Source organism: Homo sapiens, chromosome 3, assembly GCF_000001405.40.
Source record: "Homo sapiens chromosome 3, GRCh38.p14 Primary Assembly".
Taxonomy (NCBI): Eukaryota; Metazoa; Chordata; class Mammalia; order Primates; family Hominidae; genus Homo; species Homo sapiens.
Genome location: NC_000003.12, coordinates 105,770,650 through 105,792,092, shown reverse-complemented (window position 1 = coordinate 105,792,092; position 21,443 = coordinate 105,770,650). Strand labels below are relative to the sequence as shown.

The 21,443-nt window shown below is 35.0% G+C and overlaps 1 protein-coding gene across 43 annotated transcripts in view; it reads left to right on the top strand.

Annotated features, from left to right (window-relative positions):
* The window catches only part of CBLB (Cbl proto-oncogene B), a 213,989-nt gene that overhangs the window by 77,357 nt on the left and 115,189 nt on the right, over window positions 1–21,443 (top strand). For 38 of the 43 annotated variants that reach the window (NR_135810.2, NR_135811.2, NR_135808.2 and 35 more), the window contains one exon: window positions 15,551–15,697. The exons of the other annotated variants lie outside the window; for them this stretch is intronic. Coding sequence is in view for 21 of the 38 variants with exons in the window: in XM_011513257.2 (XP_011511559.1) it covers window positions 15,551–15,697 (147 nt within the window). In the remaining 17 variants the exon portion in view is untranslated. The remainder of the gene's footprint in view (window positions 1–15,550; window positions 15,698–21,443) is intronic. 43 annotated transcript variants of the gene reach the window in all.

The window sequence follows — 21,443 nt, the reverse complement described above, 5'->3', positions numbered from 1 at the left end:
CTGCATTTTTAACAAGCTCTGAGGTAATTGCTATGCTGATGGTCTAAGGACCAAATTTTGAGTGCCATTATTAGACACTTATTTAAATAAAATTCAAATTAAGATTCACCACTCCGTGTAGTTTTTCCTTCTTTACACTTAAATATGAAAATGCTGTAAACAAGATATTGTATTATTCCTTGTGGCATATATAAAATATTATGGAATGTACGTGATAAAAATAGATATTAATAAAATCCAAATTAAACTCACCAACTAACATAATGGAAATAAATGCTGATCAGAAACCAAATGCTAGGCCACCCATTGCTATTTACAGATATCCCCATGTGGTACTGTATTCATGTATGTGTGACACCAGATGTCTGGAAAACAGATTTTTGTGACAAATTTTGACACAGGAAATTTATCTTGCTCCATAAAACTTAATGGAAAAATGTAATGCTTAACTTCAGTCCATTTTAAAAGAACGGATTTCAGTGTAGTCCATAGAATCAAGTGGGATTTATTCTTGAGAGCTGCTAGGAGTCTCTTTATCAAGAGAATTACCTAAGACAACGTCAGTGGGTGGCATGGTATTTGATTGGTTATTGATAATATGTGTTTTGAGTTTGCCATATTCGCTCAGTATTCTATTTTAGATCATGAATAAAGGATATATTTCTTTACTACACTAAATATTTATCAGATGAATCATTTCTGGAAGTGAGGGAATTAACTGTGGTATTTTGAAAGAGAAACACATCTTTTCAGAAGTACATCAACAGTGTGATTTCTGAATGTGTTTCAAACGGTTAATACACCAGGGGCTGAGACTCCGCCAAAGTAGAACATCTGCTTCTAAGACATAGGCTTCTGGTGCATTCTTCTCTGTGCACTATTGTTTTCTTTTGCTTGTTTTCTCAATTTGTTAAATCTAGATTATATTTCATAAGGATACAGGGAAGAAACGCTCCTAGCTCATTTGTTATCTTACAACAGAGAAATCTTCAACAGATCTTTTAAATTTGGGTAAAAATCTAAGAATTCCTAATGATTAAATTATGCCTGGTGATAACGTATTATTGAAAGTGGTTTTCTGTTTTGAACTCCCCACTCATGCAGTTCTCCCTGGTGGAAGCATGGTTGCACATGCAGACCTCTGAATTCCTGAGCAGCATGGATAGAAGGGGTCCTGTGCTGGTGCAGTGGGCAGCCTGGATGGGGAGGCAGGGTCCTATCTATGATGTGTTCTTGCTCCCCTATCAGCCTCTTTCCTGAATACACATCACTTCTATCCCTGTAGTCTGTCATATTGCCATACTGGTCTACATCTGTATGCCTTCATCTGCCAGGCTTGTTGCCTGGCACGTTCTTCTGCATTTGCTCTGCTCCTCTTAACAGAGTTGAACACCTCTCTTTAGTTCCTGTGTTTTGGAAGCACCTTGAATGACCTTAGTTGTACAGTTAGAGTGTATGTAATTGTGTGTTTTTATATCTAAGTAACCACTAGACTGTCGACTCCCAGAAAGCAAGGACTGAACTGGTCTTTATCTTATATTTCCATTACCTAATGTAGTGGCAGATTTTAGCAGGTCCTCAAAAAAGGTTCATTGAGTGAATAAACTTTATTAAAGTCGATGGAACTCCATATATGTTGATTATAATTTTCATGCATATAAAATCAATCTGAAAACAGGGAAAACTGATAGTTGTGTAAGTAAGCTATACTTGTAGACAAAGAAGCAGCAAGCTGTGACATGAGTAAGATGTGTAAGAAAATGTAAAGATTTTCTAGTGCTGCTTTGCAGCCTGATCTTTGTGGATTATTTGTAGCACTTTTTCCTCTATTTTAATATTTAATTCCTTAAGAAATAATTAAGCAAGAAATCATTTTAAAAAAGTATACAATCTTCCTATCATTTTGATGTTTAACAGAAATATTAAAATTTGTTTTTAAAATTATTTTCTTATTTTTATTACGACAAAATAATCAGTATCTTCAGAGAGAAATAATGGTTGATTCTGGTGCTTACCATATAGATTAAGTCCTGCAAGTCTTGGGTATAGCAGTGCATCTATTGAATAACCATTTCACTAATAACATTTACACAGGTAGACAGGTACAGTGATCTGTTAAGCAATATTTTTAAATATCTTCTTAAAAGTATTGTAATGAAAGGTCAGGTACAGCTGGATGCCGAAAGAATTACGCTAAAAAAATCAGTATGTATCTTTAGTGTTAATAAGTAGGATTATTAATAGTGCTTGACTTTTAAACAGAGACCCCATTGAATAGAACTAGACAAGCCAATATCCAGGATGATTTCTTATCTAGACATATGTCAAATCTAGTTATGTTAAATTGTCTTCAGAAAACACATAATTTAAATGGCAGCGTAATTAAAAGACACTGCTGTTAGGTCTATAAACATTCTATGTCTTTGCTTACATTTTACCACATACAATGTCAGGGGTTTTTCTACCTTTGAGAACTTAAAACTTGTAGAAATTAAGTCTATTGTCAGTAGAAATCAGTGGATTAGCTTAATGGTATTTTCACAGTTCAGTTCATTGTGTGGTTATCTAAGTAAATACGTTTTGGGAATTAATTGCAGTAAATTCCTTCTGATTCAAATCTGGGTATGCTGCTTTCCAAATAGGATAGTACAAATTTTTTCTAAAAACGTTCCCTGGTTGGTTTTTTTATCAGAGAAAATACAGAACTTGTAAAATTTATAATTTTTAATGTAAAAACTACTTTGTTTAACAAGAATAAAATTCTTAAATAAGATGTTTGATACTTTCTACCCAGCTTCATCACTCATTTCTATTCTCAGAGAGAAAAGAGCCCTATCCTTTCAAGTGCTAGAATTGAGTATCGTGATAATAGTAGTAGATTGGTAGCTCTAATAGTGCTAATAACAATTAACATTATTGAATGCATACTCTTTATCAGTTTTCTAAGCTAATTATTTATTGCTGTATAGCAAACCACCCCAAAATTTCGTGGCTTGATTTAACAGCAATTATTATTTGTCATGGTTTTGTGGGTTTACCGAATGTTTTTTCTGCTTCATATAATGTTGGTTGGGATGCTAGTTCAGCTGGAAGGTCCAGTGGCTTTACTGTCATGCCTAGCATTTGGTACTTGGCAGCTGGGAACATACTTGGGTCTTTCTACGTGATTTCTTGGACTTCCTCAGAACATGGCAGCTAAACGCAAGAGCATTTTTAAAGAGGCAGAGGCAGAAACTGCCAAACTTTGTAATGCCTAGCCTCAAAAATTTATGTAGCGTCATTTCTACCACATTCTATTGAGTAAAGCAAGTCACAGGCTACTTCAGTAAAAGGGGAGGGAAATAGACTCCCCTGTGTTGGGAAGAGTGCCAAAGATTTTGTGGCCATTTTTAATTTTTTACAGATTGAGCTAAGTACTCAATCCTTTACAAAATTAGCTAAGTACTTTTACAATGTATGTTTTAGGGATCAGAAGACTGAGACTTGAAGAGGTTAAGTCAGTGTCCGAGGTCATCTAGTTACTAAGTACCTTAAGCTTTAGAGCAAGCTTGTCCAACCCGTGACCTGGCCCAGTACAGCTTTGAATGTAGCTCAACACAAATTCGTAAACTTTCTTAAAACATTATGAGATTTTTTTTGTGACTTCTTTTTTTAAGCTCATCAGCTATTGTTAGTGTTAGTGTATTTTACATGTGGCCCAAGGAAACCAAAAGATTGGACACTCCTGCTTTTTTTTTTACTTTAGAGCTGGAGCTTTTCACCGTTGTAATATATTACCTTCAATGGTATAGGCAGATAAATTTGTCCTTCTGCTCCAAAGCCAATATCTGAGGAAGTTTTATTTATGTGGCGGGATAATTGTCTTTGCAGTCAGTGAGATTATAAAGATATTTGGATCACATTATTGAGGAGCCATCATGTGGTAAAAGTAGCAGTCTCTCCAAATTTGGAAATTTCTGAGTTGTTGGGTGATATGAAAGGTAAAATTTTTACATCTGATGTTATCCTGCGTCTACTACAAATATTAGCACATTGCCTCACCAAGAGCAAATAAATAAGTCAGCTTCTTAAACCATAAGTTTCCCAGTGGGCATATTCCATTCTACTACAATTTATATTTTTCATATGGTTTCAGTGTTCTAGTGTTTACTATTCATTAACATGAAACACAGATTTTAAATTGCCTTTTTAAAAATTATTTCTGCTGCTTTGTGGTTTTCTTTGTTTTGAGGGCCATGTTATTCATGGAGTTTTCATTGTTAAAAAAAGAAAAAAAGAAATGTCAGTAATGCCTGTGATGGTAAAGAACAAAATAAAAGTCAAGGCTTTCAAATATACTAATTGAAAGTTTTTATGCTTATGGTAATTTGAGTTTTCTATGTTAGATTCTTGGCATACTGCCTTCAGGATTTCTTCAGTCTAAGACTGAGGCATATTGAGGAAAGTCTGTAAGTTGAAAATATCATATAGCCTATTGTACTTTCATGTTAGCTGTAAGTTGTGAAATGGATTCACAGTTTTTGCTTAAAGCATATAGACATTTTAGCGCCAGAGTTATCTAGTCTCCTGCTGATCAGAATAAAAGTGGTAGATAGCCCCATAGAATGTTATGGGGCCATAGAACGTATGTACCACAACCCCCTGGTTTTATAGAAGAAGGTTTAGATAAGAGAAGCTTTCACTCTTGTTCATATCATGGAATAGTGTGAAGGGCAGAGTTGTGTCTAGAAACCTGGTCTGTCAGCACTGTGTTTTCTTCCACTGTATCCCAGTATTTCCTTAATTAGCCTTGTTATTAGAAATGTAAACCAAGTATCCAAGAAGGTCCTGTCACCACCACTCAGCTGTAGAATAAGTTAAATCCAGCTTAACTTTTGCATTTGTGAAAGTCTGAGACCTTTAAAAAATGCTTAGTCGTCATTGTATTCAGAAAGTTTAAGACTTCTATAGTGGTTCAGGGAAATTGTACTGCTGAGAACTAGTAGGTTATTACAGCCATGTTTTTCTGTGATTACTTTTTATTTTTCATTTTGAAAGAAAAAAACTACCTGGCATAGTCTCAATGCTTTAAAAAGACAGGATTTTTCTGTGAGACCATTGACATCTAAATTAGTGTTCTCTTGAACTGTTATCATGCATATTAAGACATATCATATATCTAATAAATGGAAGTAAAATGGAGTTAATTGAATCATCTGGTTGGGTTCAGCTATACCATTTCTTTCATGACGTTATATGACAAAGAACACATGTGATGTGCTAATTTATCTATATAACTATTCTGAGATTTCTTGCTCCTAATAATAATTTAGTTTTAGTTGCATTTTTTAGGAGACTATTATAAAGGAAGGAGATAAATCATGAACTAGATTTAAGGATCCAGACCCCTCCTTCTGTTTAAAGCAATTTTAGACTGTGGATTTAAGTGTTTGAGCTTTCTGTTGTCTGGTTTTTATTTTAAAGATATGAAATTAGAACTAAGAGGTTTTTCTTTTGGGGAAGGATATGGAAAAAATACTGGTGTGCCATTTGTGAATGTACTATGGGGGAAGGACTAACACTTTTTAGAAGATTGGTAATCAATGGTCATGCAAGTGGTTTGGCTTGAGTGCCCCAGAGATGCCTTCTCCGTTTGAAAGCCGAAGCAGCGTGGTTGCCAGTGGAGCCTTTCAGAGTACCGGAGACATTGCAGTGAGTCTGGAAATCTATTCTGTCTCCAGTAGGCACATCTCAGGTTTATCAGAGAACATCAATATAATGGCTTTTTAATGACATTTTTGTTTCTTACTGAAAATAGGGCAATTTAAAGAATAAAAGAAAGAAAAACCATAGTAATTCTACTAACCAGAGGTTACTATTGATAATGCCTTTTTGTGTATATCCTGTATTTGTTTTCCTATTTACAACACATCATCTATAATGTGGTATTTATAGCCTTTTAATTTAATAGAACTAAGATTGTACTGAGCATAGTATCGATTACCCTGCCTTTTTCACTCTACACTTTCATTTTACCCACTTTCCCCCCCCCGATCCTCTCACACAGTGTTATGTGTGAGAATAGATTTCCAGACTCACTGCAATGTCTCCCATCCTTCAAAGGGCCCCACTGGCAACCAGTCTGTGTTGGCTTTCAAACGGAGAAGGCATATCTGGGGCACTTGATATGCACTTGCACTACCACTGGTTCCCAGTTTTCTATGAGGTATCTATATCAGATCATGGCTAAAATGAGTGGGAATTGCTTGGCAAATTTGTGTTTGTTTTTATCTTTATATTTGCACATACTGAATAAAGATAATTTTAATCCTGGGGAAGAGGTAGAAAAAATCTCATGATTTTAGTTTTCTCTGTTAGTATTGCACGACATAAGCACCAGAGAGATGACTTTTTTCCTCCTTTGGTTCATTTGTATTTTACTTGTCCTATTCCAAAAGAACAGTATTGAAATGAGACACAGGTATCAATAAGGAAAATTTCCAGAGCCAGAAGAAGGAAGGAACTGTCAGGGAACAATTAGTGTGACGGGAAACTATGTTATGCTTCCTCAGAAAGTATGACAAATATGTTACATTTACTTGAGTTTCTGGAAACTGCACATGAGGGATATAGCATTAATTTCCTTTGTCTTGTTGGTATTCTGTTTTACCATTCATGAAGAAAGAAAAAAAATGAGAGAAAATAAAAGGTCTCAGAACTCACAGAGTAAAGATATTTTTCTAATTGAAAGTCAAACTTCAGAGTTGTAATTCTCTGTTAAAGTGGGTTTTGGTTAAAAATTATTTTCTGTAAACTAATTTTATAGGCTATTCCTATCTGTCTGTTCATTAGCACAGTTTTGGGGTCAGCAAATTATTCCTTATAGTTTAAAAATATTTTTTATAATCTTTGAAATTAACAAACTTTTATTTGATAGCTATTTTAAGAAGTTGTTACAGGTGTAAGACTTTTTCTTCTCTAACAAAGATGTGCGCTGATAGAGCTGAAACACAATATCTATGTAAAATAACCATGGTGCCCTTCAAGGAAACCTTTGTGCCCTGGCAGATAAAGTGTTGTGGCATGTCACATATGGGAAGGGGTAGGGAAAAGATTCCATGTGGGTATTTTGACGTAAAGCTGGTGCATTTGAGAATTCAACAGGCTGAGACATAGAAACATTGTATCAGAGTAGGGTGAACGAATGGCTTAACTCACGGAAAGCAGACCATTTGGATAGCTTGGGGAGAAAACAGAAGTAGTGTGAGAAATGGTGGAAAGGACACTAGAAATACTTGAGGAGTTTCTAACTATATTCTATTGAGTAAAAACAAGACAAAAGCCATCCTTGATTTGTCAAAAGTGATAAAAATGGTGTAACAAGTAGAAATAGGATTTTCCTGCTGGGTTTGGGGTAGAACTTGGAAAAAAAACTGATCAATTATGTCTTTTTGAGCCATGTGTTTAAAATTAAGGTGGAGGATCAGAAGCAATAAATATGGATTAATTGACTCCATTCAGATTGCCACTTCACTGTTTTATGATAGACTACTGGGAATAGCAAATAATAAGAAACTTAATGTAGATTTGTTTAAAAAATTTGTTACTACTGTTGTTTCAATGTCAAGTTTATTTTGCTTGTTGATGAAACTGGTCTTTTATCACATAACTCTAGGTCATAAAAGTATAGTTTGAATTTCCAACATTTCTAATGTTTCTTTTTCTTTTGAAAAATAATCAAAGAAAAAGTTCTGCTATGTTCTGGTTACTTCTGTATGAATCTCATAGCAATCATGATTTTCCATTGTGTTTACAGAACTTTCATTGTGTTTTATCGTAAAGGAATGAAAGAATGGATTATTTTTTCTTTTTTGTCTCAATGGAGTGGTCTACATTTTAAAGGTTTATTTTACAAAAGGATACTTGTTACATATTAGGTTTCATCAAAAGAAGTTCAATACTAAAGATAAAGAGTTTTCCTTATTGAAATATATATTGTTAAGCTTTTAAACCAAATGAAAGTATGAGTGGTCATATTTATACTGTAGTAGGTTTTCATAATAGATTTTCCGGATTAAAACCATTTGTTGAAATCATCAAAGAGATGTTAATCCTGCTTTAGCATTAATGCAAAGTTAAAATAACTGACATTAAAAAAATCATTTGGGAAGCTTTATTGAATATATTGAGATAAGGTTTATTGTAGTCCTTCTCTTCATGCATACTGCTGTTACAATTCCAGGAGGTTTCAAAATCCATGTGAATGACCCCATTCAACCCTCAAACTGTCCAATTCCTGGCCTAATTCACCTTCACTCTGCTGTAGCTACCAGTTGCAGGACTAGCTGCATTTTGGCCAGAACTGCATCACCCTGGAAATTTTAAACACACTCTCTCTCTTCTGATTGCCCTCTTTTTCTGGTTCCATCTCAGCTTTATTCCCACTGCATTGTTCTTTATCTTTGGAGCTCTCTAAATCCCTTAAATTCATTGGGTATAGGATTCTGTCATCTTCATCTTTGTAATATCAGTGCCTAGACTAAGCCTGGCGTATAATAGGCACTCAGAGATTTGAAGAATAAATGACTAAATGACTGTATCAAATACTTGCCCATTGTTTGCTGTTTCTGAATTGTACAAGGCCATCATGATAATTGATGATCTTAATAATGTGAGAATATGATTCTCTTACCTTAGTAAGAGAGCCATCAGTTTATTGGATGATAGTTATATGGAAAAAGAAGAAATGCTACTGTGATAAATATTTATAATTTTAAACAAGTGGTAAGTAGAATTAATGATAAATAACTTACTTATTGAAGGTTTTCAAAAAATTAGATGCATCAGGGTCTTACCTACATGTCTTATGTATTTTTATTCAAAATTTTTAGAAATGAGGAAACAGGTTAAGTAACCTTTTCTTTATCTTTAAACAGGCTAAGGATATTAAGCCAGTACTAACAAACTTAAGGACCAAACTCGTCAATATGTAAGATACTAGAAAAATTAATCAGAATATATTTTGAATATCTTGTGGAAGCTTCTCAAAGGATATTACATTGAGCATCATAGGCTGGCATGTTATTTCATGTTTTAAGTAAGGCATTTGTAAGTTGTCCATTTAAATATATTTATTTTAGAAAGCAAATATATTTGTCCTGTGAAGAGCATCCTTATTTTGAGGGATAGCTTCTTGCTGTTAATAAAACTTCGTAGATAACATGTTGGAAAGAATACCACAGGCCGGGCTCAGTTGGCTCACGCCTGTAATCCCAGCACTTTGGGAGGCCGAGGTGGGCAGATCACTTGAGGTCAGGAGTTCCAAACCAGCCTGGCCAACATGGAGAAACCCCTTCTCTACTAAAGTACAAAAATTAGCCAGGTGTGGTGGCATACACCCTCTGGAGGCTGAGACACGAGAATCGCTTGAACCCATGAGGTGGAGGTTGCTGTTAGCCTAGAATAGGGCCACTGCATTCCAGCCTGGGCAATAGAGTGAGACTCTGTATCAAAAAAAAAAAAAAAAAAAAAAAAAGAAAAGAAAAGAATACTACAGAGAGATCAAAGAATGCCCAAAGTTACCTCTCCCAGTCAGAATTTTGGGTGTAACCTCCCTAGCTGTGCTAGTGGTGGATGAGGTGTTTAACAAAGGAAATGTAAGATCTTCCTTTAGTTGCCAGTTCAGTGTAGTTTTTTGGAATTAGTTTGCTAAATTTCTTTTAAAGTGATCAGTTTAGTATCCAAAAAGTAAAATGGAGCAAGTTGAAAAATTGTCCTGCCTGTGTTTCAGTTTAGGTTGTTCCTAGGCGCACTGCTGACTTCTCTTATGACTTTGGGTAGATTCAGTCTTTATTGGTATTTGAACTTTTAATGTCTGTTGTGTACTCTCCTTAGACACATTTAAAACTTTAAAGCATTTGGGCAGGGGGAATGGGTAAGGATCCAGTTTTATTTAAGACTGTCAGGACCCATCTCAATAGTAGTATCTATTCCCATGAGAGAAAAATGAAAGGCAAGGCTTACATCAGCCTAGTCTCCTCACTTAGGAATCACAACATTCCTAAGGTCAGAAACAGTGTGAAGTAAGTCTCTGAACCCATTTTGGAGGGCAGTACATCAGAAATACAGTGGAAATTGCTCTTTAGCTGGATGTGAGTTTCATTTTAAGCACCACTGTTTATATTCTTTATGTCTTGCCTTTCTTTTTATATTGAGTTTGTTTCACCTTGTAAAATTAAGAAGAGCATGTTCTAGCTTTTAAATGTGAGAATTGAATTATTAATAGTTTTTGGGTAAAAGTATCACCTCCCATTTCTTCTACCAAAAGCAGCACATCCTCACAGACTTTTCACCTCACTGAAAATGGTCATTTAAAGTTTTTACTAATTCAGCATTTAAAGCTTTTTATTTCCTCCTTGATTTATAACACAGCTGTTTCTTGAATAGAAAAAACTCAAGGACTACATGCAATCTAATTAGATTACATTCTTTGTGTGAGTCTCCTGCATTTAGTGGAGGCCACTAATCAAATCTTGATATATTTTCTATTTCTTTTATTTATTTATTCATTTAATTCATCAAGTCAAGATGGCTATAATTAGAGCAGATTACTCCTACCACATTGTATTATGATGATCTCTTCATGTTTTTTTGTTTCATACTATATGATATTCATTAAGGGTAGCATTGTGCCATCCTCCATCAAGCATTATATGCTTCCTTTGTGCTTATGATGTTGACCGTAGCAACCTTAAACTGTTAAGACTTGTTTATAAACGGTGAAGCTCCATCATTCCAACAGAGTCAGCATGCTAATTCACTCTAGTTCAAATCCACATTCTAGTTGAATCCCTGCAATGTAACTTGACATTTGGAGAAATTGATTCATACCATTTTAAAGAAATATGATATAGGTGACAGAATCCAGGATGAAGAGGTACCTTGTTGCTTAGATGATGACGTTGTGGATTCATTTCACATCTCTCTCTCTTTTTAATGTAGCTCTTCTCCCTCCTTGGTTTTTATTCCTCCCTCCTTCTTTCTTCTTCAAGCCTCCTCTAATGTTAACATCTTTGGCAGTTTGGCCAGTGTTGACAACTACTTTTTGATTATTTGGTATTTTAAAATATTTGGTATTTTAAAATGCTTTTATTGGCCAGGCGTGGTGGCTCACACCTTATAATCCCAGTACTTTGGGAGGCCGAGGCGGGCAGATCATGAGGTCGAGATTGAGACCATCCTGGCTAACACGGTGAAACCCTGTCTCTACTAAAACTACAAAAAATTAGCTGGGCATGGTGGCGGGCGCCTGTAGTCCCAGCTACTCAGGAGGCTGAGGCAGGAGAATGGCATGAACCTGGGAGGTGGAGCTGGCAGTGAGCCGAGATCGCGCCACCGCACTCTAGCCTGGGTGACAGAGCGAGACTCCATCTCAAAAAAAAAAAAAAAAAAAACAAAAAACAAAACTTTTATTGTAAAATTATTTATTACAAACAAAATCCCATGCAAAGAAAATGAATAAATGTGATGGTTAATGGAATATATGTGGAAATAAGTAGCTTCTCTTATAAGTGAAAGAACTGATATCGAAAATTCCATGTAAAATTAATTAAAATTAAAATTACATTTGTAAGATTATTGAGTCTTTTCTTTCTGGGCAGATTTTTATTTAGTTAGTTGTTTGGGGATTGTTTGGGTTTTAGTGGCAGAAATATATTCTTCATAAGTATCAGATTCTTTATTAGGCAGTCATCATTTTAGGTCTTACAATGATGGGAAATCCCATGGGCTTAGGGAAGATTGGCTAAGTATGGAAAAATTACGTAATAGAAAAAATTCCATCTACAAAGATGTGTGATTGTTTCTTTTCTTCTCCCTATGTCTAGATGGTTAGAGATGACTGTATTCTTGGATTGTTTTATTTTCAAAATTGAAAGTTTTTTTTTTTTTAAATGGGTATTAGGCTGGGCACGGTGTCTCATGCCTGTAACCCCAGCACTTCAGGAGGTTGAGATGGTTAGATCACCTGAGGTCAGGAGTTTGAGACCAGCCTGACCAGTATGGTGAAACCCCGTCTCTACTAAAAATCCAAAGTTAGACGGGCATGGTGGTGCATACCTGTAATCCCAGCTACTTGGGAGGCTGAGACAGGAGGATTGCTTGAACCCGGGAGGCAGAAGTTGCAGTGAGCCGAGATCACACCATTGCACTCCATTCTGGGCAACAAGAGCAAAACTCCATCTCAAAAAAAAAATAGGTATCAAAGGATGCATAGTGGGATGGGGAATAAAGAAAGCACATACTACATAGCAAAACATTGTAAACAAAAAAGTCACAGCGTCATATAAAAAAGAAAACGTATTTTCTATGATAACAAATTTAAATGAAATTAGATACCAGAATAGTTTTCAGTTCTCTTTCTCTTTTTTTTTTCCTTTTAAGCTCCAACAGAATGAGTTTGTCAGTTCTTTTCATACCTTGGTGTCGATTGCAACCTCTATAAATATGTTAAATAATGGATTTCTAAGATGATTATTTACATATATATGGAGTGTGTGTGAGTGTATAAGTATAAAGTAAATATATATATTCTGGAATGTGTATGTATATATGCATATATATATTCAACTATTTTTAACAATATGAGCTTGAGTTTCTTTCAAGACTAAAGGCAAAATGTATTTTTTCATTGCCTTATTTTGTGCAAAAGCCAAATAAAATTGTGGTGATCCATTTGCAGAAGCAAGAAAATAGAAGCATATACACATTTTATAGTCAATCAGTGAGTATTGATATAGGTCCTGGTGATTATTAGAGCTTCTAGACTATAAAAAATGTTACTATGTTTCTTTTAAAGTTTAGTGTCTGCATAGCCAGTGGATCAGATACCCAGAATGGGTGGGTAATCACTGGCGTTGTGTTTCAGACTTTAGATCTAACAAGTAAAAATTAAAAAAATAAATTGGATATGATTAAAGGACAAAGAATCAAGGGGATGGAGTGCAGCCAATTCAGAAAATAAAGAACAGTTGGTTTACCCTAATTATAGCCATTTTGATTTTTCTTTTGTATGTATCAATTGGAAGTTTGGTAAAAATTAAATCTTTAGCCCAATTATAGAAATAAATTCATTGCAGATTTCCTAAGGTGACTTTATACTTTTCTTAAACTCAAATCTTTAAAGTCGGTTGTAGTTTGTACGAGCCACAAGTCTTTCCTTTGATATAGTAAAACAGTTTACTTTTTATTTTTTAAAACAATATCTTATATCTACCATCATCTAAATTGAGGATATGTTAACATAAATGACAAAATCATATTGATATCAAAGATTCAACTGATTAAGAGAAATTTTACACTTGGATTAGGATGAGTTGTGCAAAAGTGGCTGAATCTAATAAAATGATGTAACATTTATGTATATTATAATGAATTTTCCAGATTGTTTATGGGTACAGGTCAAGCATTAAAATAAGGCCTATGTTATGCCCTCCCCCCTTTCATCAAAAAGCTTTCCGTAGATAAGTTATGGAAATAGGTGACTGTTTTTTTTTAAACTTTTTTAAGGAAGATGAATTTATTGATTTTATAGAATATCTTATTGCATTCTTCTTATTACTACTTTTCCCACTTTTGATCATGGGTATCTTTTTTCTGTATTCATCTTATACAGGAAGTTATGTATCTCCTTTGTAAATTAGAAAGAGTGTCATCCAATGATTTTATTGTCAGGTGCATATTAAATGATCTCCTTGGTAAAAAACATGAGTTATTATTATTATTTGACAGTTATTAAACACAGATACATGAGTAAATATGGAGCAAAGAAACACAACTTTCAATGACAAAGGTCTGTTGATACACTGTATGGTTTTATATGTTGCAAATTTGATGACTTTCTCTGTGTTAATTTCCCTCTATATTTTTATTGAGTCCTAACACACTTGCCTCCACTCACATCCCAACACACACACATACACACACATGCACACACACACACTCTCTCTCTCTCTCATATATACAGGTGCACATACACATGCATAATAGCTGAAGCTTCAAAATGAAAACATATGCAGAATGTACCTATTGATTTCTGGTCATTCTGAGCAAAAGGGAATATAAAGAAATAAAGTTTGTTTGAAACTGGGGAAGTTATTTAGTATTTTGTGTTTTAATTGCTTCTTAACTATCTAACACTAGTAGTTTTATGCCGATTAACGTAATATTGAAAATTTAAGAAATGTTAGCAAGGATTATAGGTGATTGATAGTACTGTTTTGTAGTATGAAGCATGGTTTAAATCTTGTCAGAATCCCCAGAACTTAACATGGAAATTAGAATAGAGCTGACACCTGTATCTCCATTCTAAACCATTTAGTCATATTACTACAATTTTTTCCTTCTAAAACAGACTTCATCAAGTCTTCAGAATTCTGAATCCATTAATCCATTTGACTCTCCATTTATTTCTTTTCTCTTTCATTTTTTGTTTTTGAGACATTGTCTCACCCTGTTACCCATGCTGAAGTGCAGTGGCGTGTTCATGTCTCACTGAACCTCTGCCTCCTGGCTCAAGAGATCACATCAGCCTCCCTAATAACTGGGGCTATAGGCATGCGCTCCCACGCCCTGCTTATTTTTTGTAGAGATGAGGTCCTGCCATGTTGCCGAGGCTGGTCTCAAACTCTGGGCTCTAGCCATTTGGCCACCTCAGCCTCCCAATGTGGTAGGATTACAGGGGTGAGTCACCACACCTAGCCTGACTCTCCATTTCTTATAGCAGTACCTCTTAATGAGGAAAGCACATTAGAATTGCCCACAGAGCTTCTAAAATATGCATATATCTAGAACCCTTCCTCAGAAAATCTGATATTTAGGTAGGAGTGGCAAGCATGTATAACAAAAACTGTGCATTGATTCAGATGCCTCTTTATGTCATGTCCCAACTAAAGTTTCTTACTCTGTCTCATGTTATTTTCTCCTGTTACCCTCTGCTCTGCTTTCACTGTGCCAAAAATGATATAATACCAATACATTTTCATTTTATACTTTTGTATTAGTACTTTTGTACATGCTGTTTCTACTGCCTGAAATACCTTTTACTTCCCTCTGCATCCTCCCTTTCTCTCCTCTCCAGGTCTTTTATCTGTCAAACAATGAGTTTTCTTCCTAGATTCTCCTCTGATGGCAAATCTTTCCTTACTCCCCCAGGTAGAAATAGTCACTCTCTCTTTTATGTTTACCATTTATATTTGATTATTAATTTTTTAAGTGTCCATCTCTTCCATTAATCTGTGAGCTCAGTGAAATTATGTAATTTATCTTATTTGTGTTTATGTTAAATGAATACATGGATAACTAATAAGTTGACAGCTTTGTTAGGAATTTAAATGTACAATGTTTTCATAAACTTTTTTTAAGGGCAGCATTAAGTTGAGGTTTTCGTGATCAACCACCAAGACATACGTTGATACATACATAACATTGTTTGTCTTAATATATATTACCATAAAAATTTGCATGCATCTAGGTGTTTATTTCTTATCTTCATTTTTTTCCCTTGTGCCTACAGACGAAATCTCACAAAACTGTCCCTTATCTTCAGTCACATGCTGGCAGAAATCAAAGCAATCTTTCCCAATGGTCAATTCCAGGGAGATAACTTTCGTATCACAAAAGCAGATGCTGCTGAATTCTGGAGAAAGTTTTTTGGAGACAAGTAAGTAAAAATCATTTTTATAGCTGTGGATCTATCTTTCAAGGGTTACTGTATCCTCCCTCCAGTTGGATATGGTATATATTTTACTTGAGTGTTTTGTGAATGTATTTTATTATTTTTGATAAGCATTTTGATTGATTGGTAATTTTTATAGTCACCAAAGGTATGCCTCAATAATGCAATAGTTTTTTAGTCACTAAGTAAATATTATACAATGTTATTTATTTCATGAGCATTCATTGAGTTTGTTCTGAGAAGCAGAGGTATGTAAGAGTCTTTATACATGAGAAGCTGATAACTTCTTATAATTTAATATGTACTTAATATACAAAATAAAGGGTAGAAGGGCATAGATACTTTAAAAAATGGCATAAGTAAATTGCTGTGACAATTTAGAAGGGAATAGTTGCTTTGGGATCAGTGATCAGGGACTGCTTCCTGGAGGAGGTGGTATGTTAAGCTTGGTTAAGGTCTGAAATCGAGGTGAGAGAAGGCCCTGGCACCCTGATCCAGCCTTTCTTTGTTTTACTGCATAGAGATTATATATGTGTGAACAAGATATGAGGATAATGTTATCACAAAGATGTAGTCTGTTGCAAAGTAGTTAAAGATGTATGCCCTACAGAGACACAGATTCTGGTGAGCTTGGTAGATAATGGAATTGAATATCTAAGGTCAGCATAATTTATATAAAAGTTGCAAAACTTTTGTCATAAATGTCTCAGTAAAATGATCAAGAATGAGCATCAGGAGGCAAGTGGTTTCCCCAGTAACCTTTTAAGAATTACCTTTAATGAGAGCGCGTCCTCAGAATGTCCTAGAATGTAGGCAAAGCCCTGGCTGAGTAAGTAAGGAGGAAGTGTGACTGCTTACATAGATTATTGTTTTAATCTTGTCTCAAAGGTCTGTATTTGTCCTTTAACTGATGAAATTAGACATAAAAATTGTTAGTATACACTTTTTTTAGTACTTTGATATGTTGAACTGCGATATTGGTTTTCCTTTGTTTGTTTTTGTTTTTGTTTTTGTTTTTTCTTTACAAAGTACTATAGTTTACTATAGTCACCACCAAGATTGGAATATACCTACATAGAGTAATGTACATTTCATTAAGCACACAATTTTTTTGGCATCCAAAATATTAAAGCCTATTTCCCACATTGTACTAAAATGTATTCTGAATTATTTTTAGGCACTAAAGGAGAAAATGCCATTGTTGCCATTAACATGGAAATTCTGTGTTGTAGCAATCTAGTTATTTATAATGTTCATATATTCATTCAGAAATGAAGAATTTAGAAAAAAGTTTATCCTTATCTGAATTAGAATAACACAGACAGCTAAGACTATACTAATTAAATATTTATTAATTGTAGAAAGCAGAACAATCTTGCCAGGTTCAGGGTGTAGGAACTGAGAGGGTTTGTTTCCTGTAGTTGCAGTTCATGTATTAACATTGTAAGCTTAGTTCAAACAGTCGGTAACCTTCAAAATAAACTTTCTCTTAAAGTTTTAAGAAAATATATAGGACAAATTGATTATGGTATTTCTTTTTGAAAACTGAAAATTCTGATGAGTTATAAAATTGTTTACTTGTCATAAGGTCAATAAAAAATGGAAAGATTGCTCACAGGTTTTTTTTAAGAGAGGAGTTTACTTTGCTGGTACTTCAAGCCACAGAAAATTATGCATTTGAGACATCTTTATTTCCCTTTATTTATAACCACAGACATCAAGGGGCTGAAATTTCTGTTCAACTGCTACATGAGTGAAATCACTACTACATCAAATGAGGGATTCTTGAAATAGTGATTAGATACTTTCCCTACCTCCCAAGTCTTTTCACTTTTGTCTGCTGTTTTTACTGAATTGAGAAAGCTGCTTAATTTTTCTTTAACACTTTTAATTTGTGGATGACTGCCAAATTTCATGCTCCTTTTGGAACTTATATGCATTACCATAGTCATACAAATTAATTATTCCTTTATTAGATAATTGGAGAAAGTATTTTTTTATTCTTCCTAGGTTTTTACCTTGTGGTTCCATAATATTTTATTGAATGAATGGACATATGCATGAATAATGTGTATCCTTTCGAAAGGTTGAATTTTTTTTTTCCATTATGCTCTAATACTGTTTGTATTTTCCCAAAACTTAGTTCTCCTGTGGGAGCATGCCTGTCATTTATCTCACTGTTCATTGAGGCCATGTAAGAATGCTTTCATTTAGCCCAACCAGTGCCTTTAAACTTGAAAACAGCATTCTTTCCTAAAACAGAACCATTAATCCATTCATGAGGGCAGCGCCCTCAAGATCTAACCACCTCTTGAAGGTCCTACTTCTTAATACAGTCGCAATGGCAATTAAATTTTAACATGAATTTTGGAAGGGGCATTCAAACTATAGCACTGTTGTTTTTGAAGACATGGTAGTGCTACCCTCTCTGCTCAGGGCCCAAGCCCAGCAGCCAAGAGGCACTGCCTGCCTTGTGGCCCAAGGGGAACAGTAACACATGTATCATGGCAAATTTGTTGGGGGATTCTGTTTATGGTCAATTTTTATGCAAATGAATATATTTTAACAATGCAGTCATGCTTTTCCTTTCATAGTCTGTTGACCAGGAGTTAGAAATCTGTAGGAAAAGAAAAGTGACATTATTGAATAAATGTGTCTAAGTATGTTCAGCAAAATGAGACCAATACTAAACTGAATCTTCACACTCTGGAATAATAACTTATAATCCAGAAACTTTAAGCATGAAGCTCGAAAAATATATTACTAGCGTTAAAAAAAGAAGCACATCAATGTGATTAGACTCTGGGTGACAGTCATTTTTCTTAGCGAGTCAGGTAGCAGCTTGTGACTCATTTAAGTACTTTTTGACATTGAGAAAAGTGATTGATTGAAGTGGTGATTTATAAGATTTTAGTGCACTGGTCACCTGAGCAGTGCACACTGTACCTAATATGTAGTGTAGTCTTTTATCCCTTACCCCTCTCTCACCCTTCCCCACCACGACCCCAAAGTCCATTATATCATTCTTATGCCTTTGCTTGCTCATAGCTTAGCTCCCACTTATAAGTGAGAACATACGATATTTGGTTTTCTATTTCTGAGTTACTTCACTTAGAATAATGGTTTCTAGCTCCATCCAAGTTGCTGCAAAAGACATTATTTCATTCCTTCTTATGGCTGAGTAATAGTCCATGGTGTAAATATGCCATGTTTTCTTTATCCGCTTGTTGGTCTATGTGCACTTAGGTTGGTTCCATATCATTGCAATTGCAAATTATGCTGCTATAAACAAGCGTGTGCATGTGTCTTTTTCATATAATGACTTCTTTTCCTTTGACCAGGTATCTGGCAGTGGATTGCTGGATTGAATGGCAGTTCTACTTTTAGTTCTTTAAAGAGTCTCCATACTGTTTTCCATAGTGGTTGTTACTAATTCATACTCCCACCAGCAATGTAGAAGTGTTCCCTTTTCACAACATCCACGTCAACATCTATTGTTTTTAAAGATGTTTAACAACATCTATTGTTTTTAATTATGGTCATTGTTGCAGAAGTAAGGTGGTTTCTCACTGTGGTTTTCATTTGCATTTCCCCGATGATTAGTGATGTTGAGCATTTTTTCATATGTTTGTTGGCTGTTTGTATATGTCTTTTGAGAAATGTCTATTCATTTCCTTTGCCCACTTTTTGATGGGATTATTTGTTTTCTTCTTGCTGATTTGTTTTAGGTCCTTGTAGATTCTAGATACTAGTCCGTTGTCAGAAGCATAGTTTGCAAGTATGTTCTCCCACTGTGTGAGTTGTCTGTTTACTCTCCTGATTATTTCTTTTGCTGTGCAGAAGCTTTTTAATTAGGTCCCATTTATTTATTTTTATTTTTATGCATTTGCTTTTGAGGTCTTAGCCATGAATTCTCTGCCTAAGCTAATGTCTAGAAGAGTTTCTTTGATGTTATCTTGTAGGATTTTCATGGTTTCAGGTCTTAGATTTAAGTCTTTGATCCATCTTGAGTTGATTTTTTAATAAGGTGAGAGATGGGGATCCAGTTTCATTCTTCTACATGTGGCCTGCCAGTTTTTCCAGCACAGTTTATTGAATAAGGGTATCCTTTTCCAAATTTATGTTTTTGTATGCTTTGTTGAAGATCAGTTAGCTGTATTTGGCTTTACTTCTGGGTTCTCTGTTCTGTTCCATTGGTCTATGTGCCTGTCATTATACCAGTACCATGCTGCTTTGGTAACTATAGCCTTGTGTTGTAATTTGAGGTCAGATAGTGTGATGCCTCCAGATTTGTTCTTTTCGCTTAGTATTGCTTTGGTGATATGGTCTCTTTTTTGGTTCCATACGAATCTTAGGATTGTTTTTTCTAGTTCTGTGAAGAATGTTGATGGTATTTTGATGGGAATTGCATGGAGTCTGGATTGCTTTGAGCAGTGTGGTCATTTTATTCTTCCCATCCATGAGCAGGTGATGTGTTTCCATTTGTTGTGTCATCTATAATTTCTGTGTTTCAGTGTTTTGTAGTTTTCCTTCTAGAGATCTTTCACCTCCTTGGTTAAATATATTCCTAAGTATTTTATTTTATTTTTTTCAGCTGTTGCAAAGGGGATTGAGTTCTTGGTTTGATTCTCAGCTTGGTTATGTTGGTGTATAGCAGTGCCACTGATTTGTGTACATTGATTTTGTGTCCAGAGACTTTACTGAATTCATTTATAAGATCTGGGAGCTTTTTGGATGAATCTTGAGGCTTTTCTAGGTATATGATCATATCATCAGTGAATGATGACAGTTCGACTTCCTCTTTTCCAATTTGGATGCTTCTTCTTTCTTTTTTTTTATTGGATTGCTCTGGCTGTGACTTCCAGTACTGGGTTGAATAGAAGTGGTGAAGGTGGGGATCTTTATCTGGTTACAATTCTCAGGGGGAATGCTTTCAACTTTTTGCCATTCAGTATGATGTTAGCTATAGATTTGACATATATGGCTTTTATTACTTTCGGGTAAATCTCTTCTATACATATTTTGTTGAGGGATTATAAAGGGGTGCTGTATGTTATCAAATGCTATTTCTGGGTCTATTGAGATGATTATATATATTTTTAAAATTTCTGTTTATGTGATGTGTCACATTTATTAACTTACATATGTTAAACTGTCCTTGTATCTCTGAAACCCACTTGATTGTGATGTATTAGTTTTTTGTTGTGCTGTTGGATTAGTTAGCTAGTATTTTGTTGAGGATTTTTGCATCTATGTTCATCAGAGATATTGGTCTGTAGTTTGTTGTTGTTATGTCTTTTCCTGGTTTTGATATTAGCATGGTAGTGGCTTCATAGAATGATTTACGGAGGATTCCCTCTTTCTCTGTCTTTTAGAACAGTTTCAGTAGGATTAGTACCAATTTGTCTTTGAATGTCTGGTAGAATTCAGTTGTGAATCTATCTTGTCCTGGACTTTCTCTGTTTGCATTTTTAAAATTACTGATTCAGTCTCACTGCTTGTTATTGTTATTGGGTGGCAGTAAACCTTACCCAGCTCTCCTGCAGTTGGTGAGGCTGATCTCACTCCCACAGTGCTCTGCTAACAATGCTTGGTTTAGATCCAGGTAGTCTATAGACAGAACTCAGACCTGCCCCAGGTCATAAGCTTCTCCACATAGAAAGCTGCCATGGCTTTCAAAAAGCCATGCCCCTCTTCGTCTTCCCAGGCATGGCCAGGCACCCAGCTCCTA